The sequence below is a fragment of the Homo sapiens genome, chromosome 13 (assembly GCF_000001405.40).
Source record: "Homo sapiens chromosome 13, GRCh38.p14 Primary Assembly".
NCBI lineage: Eukaryota > Metazoa > Chordata > Mammalia > Primates > Hominidae > Homo > Homo sapiens.
Window position 1 is genome coordinate 105491041 of NC_000013.11, and position 15359 is coordinate 105506399.

Consider the following 15359-nt stretch of genomic DNA (forward strand, 5'->3'; position numbering starts at 1 on the left):
TTTTGTTAGTGATATGATTTATCTACCCGTGACTGTCAAACAACACAGATGATTTGCATATCTCACCTCAGCCAAGATGCCTCATCTTGGGATGAATTTCAGTTAATTCTTCTAGAAAAAACAAATAGAAAGAAAGAATGAAATGTCGTGTAGATATGAAGTGAAGTCTTCTGCCTCAATGGAATTGTATCATTATAGATAGCTTACTTAGTACTGAGAATGTGATGCTATAAATGAGGGCATTTATTTTTATTTGGATGTATCTGAGACTCAAGTTAAATAAGTTACTTGCATTTCATTTATCCTGATAGGAATAAATTCACATGCTGCTGGGCTCAAAATCAATGCGTTAGAGACCAGGGTCAAATGTTGAGTCTTTAGAAGTGACTTCCTGTGATCAAGTTCCACTTCTATCTCTTACTTTCTCATTGTGTAATCTTGGTCAACTGTCATAATCTCTCTCAGCTTTGTAGAGTCTAAGGTGGCGTTTAAATGGAACAAAGTATTCACAGTGCTTAACACAAAGCCCTCCACATACAAACCCTCCGAACATATTCATTATCATTAGTTTACATAAGACTCTCTCCTATGTAATTTAAAGCAGATTCACTAGAATGCCTTTCTTCCTCATATTTGTTATTTAAATAATTAACCAAGAAAATACACTTTACAAGTTTGGGCCATCAGGTTTTCATTTGGTTTGGTTTTGTTTTTGAGTTTTTGTTTGCTTGTTTTTTTCTGTTGTTGTTAAGCAGCTTAGACAAAGCAAGTATTCAATATGTAGGTATATTTTTAGGAAATCTTTAGGTTGATCTATGATTCCTTATAAGGTTTGAGTCAACAAATTCACCTTTAACTTACAATTATCCCCCATGAAAGGAAAATATGAAATATGGATACAAGAATAATGGGCTAAATGTCCAGGAATGAAATGGAGTACTGAACTCCAGATTCTCTGTCAACGCTAGAGGAATCAGAGAGCAGTTTCATGAGCTTTAGAAGAAGAGACGTTCACATACCGTACTTGGTTATCTTTGCATGAGATTTTGCAGTAACAGAGTAAAATTCTGAGATGGTTCTTTATAATTCCTTAAGAAAATTTCTATTCATTCTCTTAGGAGTTTTTGTTTTCTGAAACTGGAACATTAATGGTCGATATTAGGTTTCTGAATAAACAATAATTTTATCAGAGATATAATTATATAAGAAAAATAAATTGGTAGTTTTTTTTGTGTGCATTAGCAATGGTGGAATCATAATATTGGACACATACATATATCAGTACTTGAGAGCTATTCAACTTTGCTTAAGTTTAAAATTTTTCTATGCTGTCAGAGTCTATCTACATAGCTGCATGCAATATGGATATGCATATGCATAGTTTGTACAGTAAGAATGTATATATTATACTCAGACATGTATATTATACTTAAACATATGTACATATGTACTGGCATACAAGTATGTAAATCCATATAATCCAGAGATATAGAAAGAACATAACATACATACAGAGCCTTACTTATGTTGGAAGTTTTATTGGAACATAGATTAATTCACACACAAAAATAATGCTACCTTTTAGATAAAGCACAAAGTTGTCATTAAATCAAAATGTAATATATTATTTGTCATATTAAATGATTGTAAAAAGAAGTCATCCCTCCTATAATAAATATAAGTTAAGCTAATAACAGAAATAATAAATGTGAGTTCAGCCTAATGTGGCAACTTCTGGATTTTTAGTGAACTTTAACTATTGACGGTGTGTAGTCTATTAGGGAACAAAATAATATCCTTAAAAACTTTAAATCTTGTGATACTGCTTCTTAATTGCTTTTGTAAGTTTAAAACATTTGGGGAAAGGAACTATAACCGTATCTGTTCTTTTTATTTCCAAAGCTAATTTTATTAGCTAATATCTCTCCACTCTTAAAATTAAATAAAAATATACAGAATTAATTTATACTAAAACTTTTGCATTTAGACTGAACACATTTAGAATAAGAGGGTGTGAATCACTTTATAATTCTGTATGACTACTCAAAAAAAAAAAAAAAGACACCCAAAATACAAGAATAGTCCGGGCACCATGGCTCATGCCTGTAATCTCAGCACTTTGGGAGGCCGAGGAGGCCGGTTCACTTGAGTTCCATAGTTCAAGACAAGCGTGGCCAACATGGTGAAACCCCGTCTCTACTAAAAATACAAAAAATTAGCCTGGTGTGGTGTCACATGCCTGTAATCTGAGCTACTGGGGAGGATGAGGCAGAAGAATTGCTTGAACCCAGGAGGCGGATGTTTCAGTGAGCCAAGGTTGTGCCACTGTACTTCAGCCTGGGTGACAAAGCTAGATCCTGTCTCTCTCTCTCTCTCTCTCTCTATATATATATATATATATATATGTATATGCATAGTTTAATGAGTGGAGTACTTTCAAGGTGAGAGTTAGGAAAGATAATTGAAGTAAACTAATATTACTACATGTAATATTAGTTTGCAAGTTGATCCAGTTTGCAAGTTGATCCAGTTTCCGTATGATCAGCATTATTAGGCAATAGATGACATATCAGAGTGCTTTTCAAGATTTGCTGAAGTAGAAATTATACAGATTTCATCCTCAAGATACGTAATCCCTATGTTTCTAATATTCTTCATGTAAGACTTTCAAATAAGTCCTCAGGCTCAAATATATGACACTTTTTATTTTTAGTAATGTATAAATTTAGCAGTAAGAGTATATTAATATCATTATTCTTTATATACATGGATATAATATAATCTAAATGACAAGACCAAGCACATTTTGAAGATAAGCTAATATACTCAAAAATGTTATTCATACAACTATTCCATCTATCCATTGTAGACTTCACCCCAAGAATACAATTCCCTGTTGTCTATTATTTCTAGGAATACACTCATTTTTATTGTAAGTCATTTATATACATAGATAAATTACATAAATGGACATAAAAATAAATGATTATATATGATCTTTCTTTTTTTCTCCACCTCTCCTTAATGTATGTGTTAGTTTTCTCTATATGCATATATTTTATAAATGCTGGCTCCCACCTTATTTTAAGGAAGTATAATGTGTTAGTCACAGATGTAAGGAGAAGGGATAAAGAAAAACTATCAAAGGATTGTTATATAGGAAATTACAGTCATTTTCTTCTGCTGGATTTTGGTGTAACTACTAAACTCTTCTAAACAAAACTTTACTTAGTTGTTTAATCAAGATAGTAAAATAATTTATCTCATGAATCAGTAAATGAGTTAAAACCTGAAAAATATTTTGGCGCAGCCTAGTCAGTAGAAAAACTCAATAAATGTTAGCGCCTGTGGCAGGATTGCTATATGCTATTTATTATGAGTTAAGAGGCATGGTGCTTAATAGATTGGATATGCTACTTTGCATTGTGCTTAGAAGGTTGAATTTGTCCTGTGCAAAAATTTATATAAATATAAACCAGGTGTCTCACACTTATTCAGCCTTCAGGGGTGGGTCAAACTTCCCTTTAATGCCTAAATACCAATAGCCTGTGTCCCTTTGTGTATTATGGCAGAAAATCTAGCCTTTTATGGGGTTTCTCTCCCTAGGTATTTCTAAGAATCCCTATAAAATGCTAATATGTCCCACAACTTTTTCATAGTTGCTGCTTGAACTTCAGTGAGCCAACTGATTCCAGAAGCCTGTAGCACTTTTCCACACTCAAACTTTGTGGGTTTTTTTGTTCTGACTTTTTTTGGGGGCACATGCTGTCCCTTCCCATGGCACAGCACAACTGCTAGGCTGCATCCAGCCTTGGCCCTGACCTCCTAAAATTCAGGTAAAATCAGACTTTCACTCTACATGCCTTTAATAAAAGCTTGCAGGGCACAGAATAGAAACTCATGCAGAAAGCTTTGTATTTATGAAGTTTTTAGTGAGTAATGCTGCTTTATACATAACCAGGAAACCCAAAGGCTTGCAACAACAGCCATTCCCTGCTCTTGAAACTGCTGGGAAGATTTCGGCTCACTCTGGGTCTGTTGGGATGGGCTGGATGTGATTCTAGGCTATAGCTTAAGTCTAGATCAGCTGCATGCATCTTCTCATTTGGGGACCTGTGGCGGCATGAATAATGTTGCTCCGACAAATGGCAGAAGCACAGGAGGCCAATCCAAATCACACACGTTTACTTAGAGCCTCTGCTCATGTTAGGTCTGCAACATTTCTGTTGACTGATGCAAGTCAATGGCCAAGACCAGAGCCACTGGCCAAGGAAAATGTGCAGTCGACATAAATTCCTGAAGGCTCTGCAAGGTCACATGACAAAGAGGAGACGTGTCAGTCATCCTGTTACAGGAGGAAGTAAAGATGAGCATAGTAAGCTGGTCATCAGGTAGAACTGCTCAAAAACTTCATAAGCTAAGCCCTCTCCAAAGGAGTTTCAGTAATGGTCATTTCCCCATTGCCTGCAGTTTTATTGCATTTTATAAGAGCCAGATTCCTGGTGAAGTGCCTTTGACAGATTTCTTACCAGAAAGAGAAATGCAGTGCCCAGAGAAGGGGAGAAGGGTAAATGGTTTCCTAGAAGAAATAGTCTGCCAAGATGGAATTCTACTAACAATAAGGAAAGTATTTTACAATATTTAACAAATTATAAGACATGTTTTATTCCCGATTTTCTCAAACTGCCATGTTCCTGGGGGGAAAAAGAAAGGATCTTTCTCTTCCTTCCTTCCTTCCTTCCTTTCTTCCTTCCTTCCTTCCTTCCTTCTCTATATAACCAAATAACCCATTTTGTTTTTTTTCCTCTAAACCAAAGTCACAGTGAATTCCTAATCATGTATTCAAGCTGCCTCTATGGAAAAAGGTAGTATTTCCATAGGTGTGAAGTGGCAGTGTTTCTTTACTTCCAGTCCTCAATATATCCAAATATTGGGAGATCTAGTCTCAGCCAAGGCCCTACAATGCAAATACGAGAGCTGCAAAAGTGTTTGGCTAATCTAAGAAACCTCAGAGGTAAATAGATAGATAGAATCTAGGAATGGTAGGTGAGAACCTAATGATACATGTATGATGACTGCAGAAATTTTCCAGTAGTAACTGGAAAGATTTTTGTTGCTTTTCTGGATTTCTTAAGAAAGGAGTCCATCCTCAGTCCAGTTACTCCAGTGGAGAGGCTACCTGCAGAAAAACATTTAATGGAGCCACGGGTGAAAGAATGAAGAAAGACTGCATTAGAATGGACAATTCTGCAAAGATTAGGAGAGGCTGGTTAAAGATGAGATGGATGCTACTTTAAGTAAAACCTTAAGACGAGTTTATGTCCTAAAAACATGTTTGCAAGTCCCTGGTTATGATCTTGTTAGCTTGGGGTTGTCGGATATGCCAATTTGCATTACCCGAGGGTTTGTCGCTCCTTATGCTGTCAGTGATACCTCAGCTACCTGAGATAGTCATGACGGGAGAGTTTGACAGTAATACACTGAGTCTTAAGTCAAATTTTCAGTAAAACACAATGAAATATATACTAAAAGATGCTCAACCCAGGCAAGTAAATTTAAAAAAAATACACAAAATTGAAATAAATTAAAGACATTTTATTTACATTTTGCTAAACAGATAGGAGTAGAAAGATTTGTGTTTATGCATATAGACACTGGGCATAAAGTCAGGGGTGAAAATAGCAACGATTAAGATTTTTAAAAGTCAATGTCTAAGAATTAAAAAGTAACAAAATTAAACACTTTGTACATATATGATTATCAAAATTAATTTTAGTAAAGATTAAATTGCGTTAAGAAAAAAAGTACATTGCTTATACAGTTATATTTTTTCCCACTCATAGCAAAAAAATGAAAAGAGAAGAGTGAGTCCTGATGTCATTCAGTATCATTAAACTCAGTAAACTCCAAGCTAGTTTTGCCAGAATCTGACACACTTGCAGGGAAATAAGAAAATCAATAGTTTTTGGACCCAAAGCATAGGAAGTGTCACAAGACTTGTTCTTAAAATCTCCTCCATGTGTGGTTCAGATCTACCTGAGACTGGGCTCTGGAGGAAGCTAGCCCGGGTAGAAAACACAGAGACTCAGCAGGAGGCACAGATGGTCTCTGAAGGACTCTGCATGTTCACTTAGAAGGAGAAACTAAAATAAATCACATATCACTTATTTCACAAGGATGGCACAGGTCAAAGTTACAGAAAGGTGCAGTTGAGGGAAAATCATGTTCTGAGTAAGGTAGAAAAAATGACAATGGGCAGTGAGGAAAAACCAAGAGTTCCTGTGTAGGAAAAAAAATCCATTTTGTTCTACTGTCTCCAAAGATATCTTCTTCAAAACTAATATTCATTTATATAATAGGCCAGATGTTCTGCTTTGACTATATTAGTGGAACACTCTAATGGCTGACGAGAGAAATAGGTACACAGCTGAGTCCAAGTAGAAGAAGTACATAGTTTCTTGGGAAACTTTCTTGGAAGGGGCTGCTCCATGGAGCCAAGCCAATAACAAGGTAATTTGGTGAAAATCAACAGTTAGCTGTGCCTGACCTCGTGAAAAAATAAAATTGCATGAAACAATGAAAAGGCATAAAACAGAAATTCTAAAACACAGAAGTGAAGAGGTTGTTTTCCCATTAATTTGCCAAGGGGATAACTAAGGTGTATTTCTAGATGACAGAATCCAGACTTTCCAGTCGCCTGTGGAGAATGTGCTGCATTCCTCTCCAGAGGAGAGGCAGTGCCAGCCCAGCTATGTGCGATCTGACACCTGTGCAGCAATGTACCTGTAATTTGCATCAGACAGGACCGATGAGAGCTTTCACTTGTGTGCAAGAGCAGTCTTCTCCAGATTGTGGCATTGTACTTTAAATTACTATTCTCCCTTGATTGTCAAAATGGCCATGTTCAACAAATATGTTCTTTGGTCATTTTCACTTCTTGTTCCACTTGCTTTTATAGTTGTGTACTCTCTCCGTCTCTCCTTTTAAGTTTCTTCAAGCATAACTTACAATTAGGTTGGTGCAAAAGTAATTAGTGCAATAACTTTTGCACCAACTTAGTTTCTCAAGTGGACTTGTGAAGATGTTTTCTGTATCTTTTCCCCCATTTCTACACAATTTCACATTAAAGTTGGTCTCAAATGATCCTCCTTTTTGTAATCATGTTGTTTTTTATCTCCTACTCTAGCTAACCTTCCTAATAGAGAATATCAGTTTTCACAATTGATCACCTGTTGACTATGGGCTGAAGGGTCCCTGCATTGTCCATTGTGATATCCCATGTCAAATTTTAAAAGTGACAATTTTATTCAAAACCATGAGAATAATATTTGTTTTATATGTCTGAAAATATCATAAATGCAGGTGATGCTGCACTTCAAAAAGTCTTTCTTCATGTTTTTTTTTTTTTTCATTTGTTTTTTCCATAGATGGGATGTGATAGCACATCTCTCTGCGTGGTGATTCATTTCTTATCTTTAAATTCCATATGATGGAAAATATTCCTGTTATAGATAAGCTAGGACCAGGGACATTCTCAAGTGTGACATTCAGTGCCTACAGTGTGTGGGCACACTTAACAGTTCTTTCCCAAAATTTCATACAGTTTCTTATCATCATATTAAACATGCTTTCTCATATAAATGTCTAAATTAAAATGAATGTACTATGAAACTCAATTATGAATAAGAGAATTAGTATGCAGGATCACTATTTCAAATTAGAAATGTAGTGGATATATATATATATATACATTTTTTTTTTAATCACACATTGATGCTTTCTTCTTCTCTGGTCAGCAAACCTCAATTTTTCTCTGGAGGAAAATATAACAATATTAATACATATAGATTACACTAATTATTTGTTTATTTGGCTGTGTACATATATTTGTGTATAAATATATATGTTCATATCCACATATCCTAGTACATAATATTTAAAAATGATTCTAGTCATTTGAAGTAAGAATTTGTTAGCCCTAGAAAGCATTGAAGATAAACAAAATTTCTTTTAAATTGCAAAAAGTGGTAATTCATACTTAAATGTCTTGAATATTTGAAGACAAAAATTGTCATATAAGGATCCCACGTTTGCTCTAAAAATGTCTATAATGGAGTTTGGTACCTCTTGTGTAACACTGTATGCACTGCATTTTGTTACACTTATTATACAAATTGAAATGAATAATAATTTGCAGTTTTACATCCCATGAATATTTTCTGTATTCTCCAGCAGTAGTTAATATGCTAACCAACTTTACTGAAAGGCATACAGATGTGGAAGAAATCTATCTGGGGACTTTAATTATCACCTTGTCAAATTCAAATTATTATCTTGTGAATTCATTTCCATAAAGTATCCCCTTTGCTGTTCCATGATTTAACATGTGTCTACTTTAAAAAAATCTTATTTGTATCTATCTGGAGGCTTTAATCCTTTCAAAGAAGATAGTTCCCTTTCAGACCGTGATGTTTACCGTAAAGTATTTGGTCAAATACATTTTTGTAAACACTTCTTTTTGGCAGAAGAAAGGTATGTGCAATGTATCAAGTAGACTTACTATCGATAATGCCCCATAAATCCGATTGAAAACTACCTTTTTAATAAATAATGTCAACCTAAAGGGGATACTAAAATGAAGACATTATGATCAACCCTAAGCTGTAATTTGAATGATCATCCGTGCTGCATGGTAGTTTATTTCACGAGTTAGAAGATCAGACTGGATCCAAGAGTAAGAAATTGGTGGGCCTGCTAATTTGTGCTGATATATATGTCCCATATATGTATGGGAAATAGGAGTAGAGGCAAAATAAATAACAAAATTGACGTATCTCTTCTCAGGTCAAAGTCAATACATTTTTGCTTGGGGTTAATTGGGGGAAGGGAAAAGTAAAGGCTAATAGAATAGAAACAACTTGAGTTCATTCCTTTATTCATTTATAAAGGGATAGAATTCAATAAAGTGATTTAATCACTTTATAAAAACATAAAAATACTTATTTTGAATTGAAATTAAATGTTAGTACATATTTGAAATCACTGGACAGCTTTTATATAAAGTTGAATAACAAATAATGCTTTGTTTTGACTTACATGCAATTTTAAAAGCTTTCATTTAGAAGAGCTACTGTTACTAAGGGACAGTCTCAATAATTATTAAAATGTGCTAAAGTATATCTTCAAATATTTTAATAAGCATTGCAGCTAATAACCTCTATTATCACCTGTCATGTGTCCCAACCAAAATTTACTGATGAAGGAATGAGCACAGAGTATGTTTAGCTAACGAGGTGGTGGCAGTGACTTAGTAGCTGAACAAATGCTCAACTTCTCAACAGATCCTCATCCAGAAATGTATCTCACCTCCGGGGGTCCATCAGAAGGCCGATTTCCTTAGGTAAGTAAATGTATTAGGACTAGAGTTTAATATTATTTATTAGAGGAGAGTAAATGTCAGGCAAATACTGTTGTACAAAGGAAAATAAAATGTCCCTTTGAACAGGGTCTCTCAGAACAAATAGAAGAAAAGACCAAAAAGACTTAAGTTAGGAAAAGGCAAATCAATCAACAATAACTTTACTATAAAGCAGACATAACCAATATGATTATCTTCCTACAACAGAACATTGCTGTTAACACTTCCATTTCATGGGTGCTCTTTAGTGGTCATAATTAAATATATAATTCAGAAACATATCTTGATATTACCTATGTTTAAAGTGATAACTCAAAGTAATGGAGAAAATATTTTTAAATTCATGATAATTTTTTAAAATCATATTAATCAATTAAAAAAACAAACCCAGTATTCTAGAGCACTCAAGTTAAAATTATAATATTTCTCTTTTCATGGTCTTTACTGGACAGAAAAAATCAATTTCTATTATTTATTACCTGCCTATTCATGGTTTTTACATTGTATAAGCTTGTTGACTTACATTTCTTTCCTACATTCTTGAGAGGTTGCCTAATTCTCTCAAATATTGGTAGATTAGTTGCTATGCATATTTTCCCCCAGCATTAATGAACTTATGAAGACGTCAAGAGGATCCACAGTTAATGTTGTCACCATGGTTGTAAAAGCCACTATTCTGACTAAAAAGTCAACCAACTCCCCTACAATATTGCATATCAGCTCTTATTTCAAATTAAAAAAAAACAAAACTGTGTTTTTCCAATTTAAAATCAACCCCAGACCACTCTACAACCAAATTTGTTCTATTTTCCCAAAGGAATCTTTATATAAATGTTCAAGAAAAATTTGTTTTTCTTACAATTTTGTGTGCCATGTTCTGGGTACCTTGCAAATCAAATTCCCTTCTAAAAATCCTGCCAATCTTCTTGATCCCTCTCCTCATTAATTATGTCTCTTTTCCTCTCTCCCAAATTTCCTAGACCCTTACTTGCTTCCTCCATGTTTCTTCTTACATTACTGGTGGGAACGCCGTTATGCCATTGTTTTGCAACACATCAAATACAGTGAATGGACCACAGGTGAAACAACAAACAGAAATACGCAAAACAAAGTGAGGTCTACAATCCAAAACTGTCTGTCACTGAGACAGAGTTCGAACGGGTCATGCCGCAATTCTTTTGTGTATACTTAATTTTTCATACTTCCTGAAATCAAAAATAGCTGAAAATATTTTATGCGTATAGAAGAAACTCGAAATTATTTTTATATGAAAAAAGCTGTACATGCATTTTTAAGAGCAAAAAGGCAATTTTTAGAAAGCCGAGGGCAGGTTGAATTCACTTTTTTATTCTTCAAAGTCCTAACAATGTTTAATCAGTAGTAGCAATAATTGTGTTTTTTTTAATTTTTAAATTCATAATTGCCACATGGTAATTGCTTGTAGTGTGTTAAATATACAGGGAAAAAATGTCAGTAACTATTAAATTGGAATAGATCAGGAACCTAGGACAACTTTGGAAATCACTCCTAGTGGGGGGAGATGAAATGAGGCTCAAAGTTTTACATTGTGGCAATTTCCTGCAGCAAAGCAGGACCAAAGAGGGTGAAGGTGAAAAGTACGATTTCCTTAATTTAATTTAGCCTTGATAGGCATTCGAGATATGTATCTTCAGCTACATCAGAAACTAATAATTACAACAAATGGGTGTGTATGCAGCTGAGATCAATAAAAACAGCTGTGGCTGCATCTGAACGTGCAAAAATAATAGCGCTGTCACCTGTGACTATTTTAAATTAAAGCTTTGCTAAAGGCAACCCTTTTTAATTCCCAGCCAAGTGGTACTTTGAGGGCGCATGTTGGAGGACAACAGTGAAGTGTTGAATCCACATTCAGAGCAGTCTTAACTTGCAGTTTTACCCCCATTTCCACCACTCTTGTGGTGTAAAGAGAACAATTGATTTCTGCCAAATGACAAGCACTCATGCATAAAAAACTAGTAGCAGCGGCACCCGTTGAGAAATTCCTGCTAATTCTTTCCCCAGGCTTCTCTCTGTAAGGAAATCATTGAGTTTGTCTTGTTTTGGTAGGTTTTCCAAACAGATCTCTTAAAAAAAAAAAAAAAAAAAGTTTATATTCTAGACTACCGAGGAGAAGGGGCCCAAATTAAAGTGCATTAAGGTAGGTGGAACTAATCAAACTTCACGTTTTCCAGGCAAAAATGTTTCCTTGGGTTTTGTTTTGTTTAAGGAGATTTAGGGCAAATGGAGGATAGAAAAAATACAAATTTTTGTTATATCTAAGTTATGGACTAAGAATTATATTAAATTAAGTGAATGATGAAAATAAGACTAAATATAACTAATTCTATTTTTATATGAGTTTAAATTAAGCGTATGGTGATAAAACCTCTAGGTAAATATAACCCATTGTAGTTTTACATTTGCTTTAAAGAAACAAATTAAAGGCAAATATTTTGGGGCAATTCAGTATTTGTGCAATTCTGCAGTAGCCTGATAAAGGACATTTACAAAAAAAAAGGAAGGCTCTGGCACAAAAGCAAAACTAAAATATTAACTGAGAAAAACAATATCTTCATCCATATGTGCCATGGGATATGAATACATGTTTTGATTTTTAAAATTTAAAAGGAGATTTGAGTCTTGTAGTTTGTCATAATTTCTTGAAATTTCCTCCTTGCACCTATGTTAGAAGTGCCAAAAGAGTGCTTTAGGCAGTATATGTGGTTGGGTTCCCTCAGGAAAGGAAGAGCACAGGATAAGCCAGTGTAAGGTACGGCTAGAGATGGGTAGAGAGAACAGGCCATTAAAGTGCCATAGAATTCACAATATTTCTCTCTCATCTATAATTCAGACATGTGCTTTGACAATTGACATAACTTATTGAGTGATTACTATGTACCAGGCATTATAAGAAATTTCTTGTTTATTAAATTCTCACAATAATCTTATGTAAAAGGGTATGATTATTTTCCTCATTATACAAAGAAATCAAGCTACAGAGACATCACATAACTTAATCATTATAACACAGCTGTTAAGTAGCAGAACTTGGAATTAAAAGCCCCAGGCAAAACTAACTCATGCTACCCCATGTAAGCATTAAAACAGCAGTATTCAAAGTGTGGTACCTGGACCAGAAGCTTCAGCATCGCCTGGGAACGTGTTAGAAATGGAAATTCTGGGACCCACCCCCAAATCTATGGAGTTAGAAACTCTGAGGGAGAACCTAGGAAATCCTATAAGGGATTACGTTTAAGACTTAACCCTAGACTGCATTGCCATCAATCATAGCGCAAGAAAACTGTTTAATTTTCAAGTATTCACTTGACCAGGTAAATGGCTGCACATTAAATGACATGCCAAGCAGATTGGGACTGTGTGCCAATTAGTGTGATTCTTATTCCAGTGAATTAATAGTCATTCCTTTGTAAGGACATAGAGCATTAGAAAGAAAAGAAAGTGGCCCTTCAGAGAATACCAATAACAAATACCAAAAAATTCAGAAATATATATTTGGAAATACAATTTATTTTCTGAGCTTCCATTATACTAGATTAGTCATATACTTCAGAATATTTATGGGTCTTCTCTCTCTCTCTTCTTTTATCCCCCTTTACTTTTCTTGCAACTTCTGGAACATAGCCCATCAGTGAACAGTGGACACCATGATTTGCTGTAGCTCAAACGTGATGGAGCCTTGAAAGGATCAATTGAGCAAAAGCAGGAAACCCTGAAGTTGGAAAAAGGCCCTATAAGCAGACAGACCTAGATTTCAATCCAGAATTCACCTTAGCATCATGAGCCTCAATGAGTTGGAGGCGATGAACATAGGTAACAGTGTACAGAACACTAGAACTGTTAAGCAAATTTTAATTCTCGACACCAAGTTTACACACTGTCATAATATTAACTCTAAAAACACCAAAGATCAGGAAACACATGCCAGGCTCCTTATACACAGTGTTGTAAATCCTGCTAACTACTTAATTCAGTATGTATTAGTTATTAAATGATGCACAAATATTCAGCAGGATTAATGTTTCCAAGTTTTCCCAGTTGTCCACTGGGATGAGATTTAAGTCCAGTTCTATTTAATTCCAAATATTCTGTTGCTCTGTCTTTAAGAGATAGGACCATCATTTTGCCTCTGCTTGGACCCTTTAGTGAGTAGCCATTCACGGGCTGTCAAGCTGGCTGGTTTAACCTGTGAAATTGTTTCAACTGCTAAGATTTGGAAGAGAGATGCGTTTGAAATAATACCCAAGTTCTAATGATGATTGTTTCTAAGAGTTCGTCATCGAATTAACCTCTCTAATTTGGTTAGCATGAGAAATTAGACTTCTGGAGATTCATTTTTAAAAATGTGTTTAAAATATATAAATGATCTTTCAAGGGCAAGGTTCAAAATGGAAAAATAAAGTATAACCTTCAGGATTGATTTTTAGATAATTTTTACTGATCACTGCTGAAAAAGGCAAGAGTCAATATGAAATTGAATGTATGTACATGAATGGATAGGACACATCTTTGAATGTGATCAACTTAAAAGCATCGTAAACAAGGCATGTAATTATTTTGATGTCTTTAGAGCAATAAAATAATTCTCTACAACATTGGAGTTTCTTTGGTATTTTTCTTGAGGGGCTCTGACTATATCAGTTTATTAATAGATTTTCTTTTCTTTTCAATGGAGACATTGTATTAGTCAGGGTTCTCTAGAGGGACAGAACTAATAGGATGTATATATAAAGGAGAGGGTATTAAGTATTAACTCACACGAACACAAGACCCCACAATAGGGCATCTGCAAGCTGAGGAGCAAGGAAGCCAGTCTGAGTCCCAAAACTGAAGAACTTGGAGTCTGATATTCAAGGGCAGGAAGCATCCAGCATGGGAGAAAGGTGCGGGCTGGAAGGCTAAGCCAGTCTAGTCTTTTCATTGATAAAAGAAAAACTTCAGCTGAATTAATTTAAAGGAGTTTAACTGAGAAATGAACGATTCGCGAATCCGGCAGTCCCCAGAACCACAGCAGACTCACAGAGGCTCCAGGGGTGCCTTGTGGTCAGAATAAATTTATAGACAAAAAAGGTAAAGTGACGTACAGGAATTAGAAGCGAGGTACAGAAACAGTGAGATTGGTTCCAGCTCGGCGTTTGCCTTATTTGAACGCAGTTTGAACAAAAGCAGTCTATGAGTGGTTGAATCCCACTGGGACTGGGCAACATTCAGCCATTGTTACAGTGCATACTATTAAATTAGGTTTTAAATTTTGTCTGACTATTAAGCTAGGTTACAGTTCATCCACAAGGACTCACCTATAGAAGTACAGAGTCCTTCTCAGGCCATATTTAGTTTGCTTAACCATCATGATTTTCTGCCTTCTTTATATCCCGGCCGAGCTGGTAGCTGATTTAGTTGCTGCCCACCCAGATAAAGGGTGTGTCTGCCATTCCAGCCCACTGACTCAAATCTCCTTTGGCAACACCTTCAAAGACACAACAGCATCAATACTTTGCATCCTTCAATCCAATCAAGTGGACACTCAGTATTATCCATCACGGGCATATATTAAAATATATTTAAATGATACTAATGTATTAAACATAGCAATATAGAACTCTCCTGTAAAATAATAAACAGCACAGACCAGTTTTGAGAATAAGTGAGTTAAGGGTCTAAGCTTAAGTCTGGCTCTACCACTCGCAAATTGGATTTCCTTATAACGTCTCAGTTCCCACATCTGCAATATGATGAAGAACAATTAGCTCATGGCTTAACTTAAAGCAGGTGTTCCCAAACATTGCCATTCATGAAACTCACCAGGGGCAATTTAAAAATGTTAATGCCAGATTACACCCTACACCAATCAAAACAGAATCTCTATGGATGGGATCCAAACATCAGTATTTATTAAATCTCC

The 15359-nt window shown here is 35.1% G+C and overlaps 1 long non-coding RNA gene across 1 annotated transcript in view; it reads right to left on the minus strand.

Annotated features, from left to right (window-relative positions):
* Window positions 1–14641, minus strand: part of DAOA-AS1 (DAOA antisense RNA 1) — a 46627-nt gene extending 31986 nt beyond the window's left edge. The window contains exons 1-3 of the long non-coding RNA NR_040247.1: window positions 14542–14641; window positions 1020–1137; window positions 67–111 (exon numbers count right to left, since the gene is read on the minus strand). This is a non-coding gene — a long non-coding RNA (DAOA antisense RNA 1). The remainder of the gene's footprint in view (window positions 1–66; window positions 112–1019; window positions 1138–14541) is intronic.
* Between the last annotated feature and the right edge of the window lie 718 nt (window positions 14642–15359).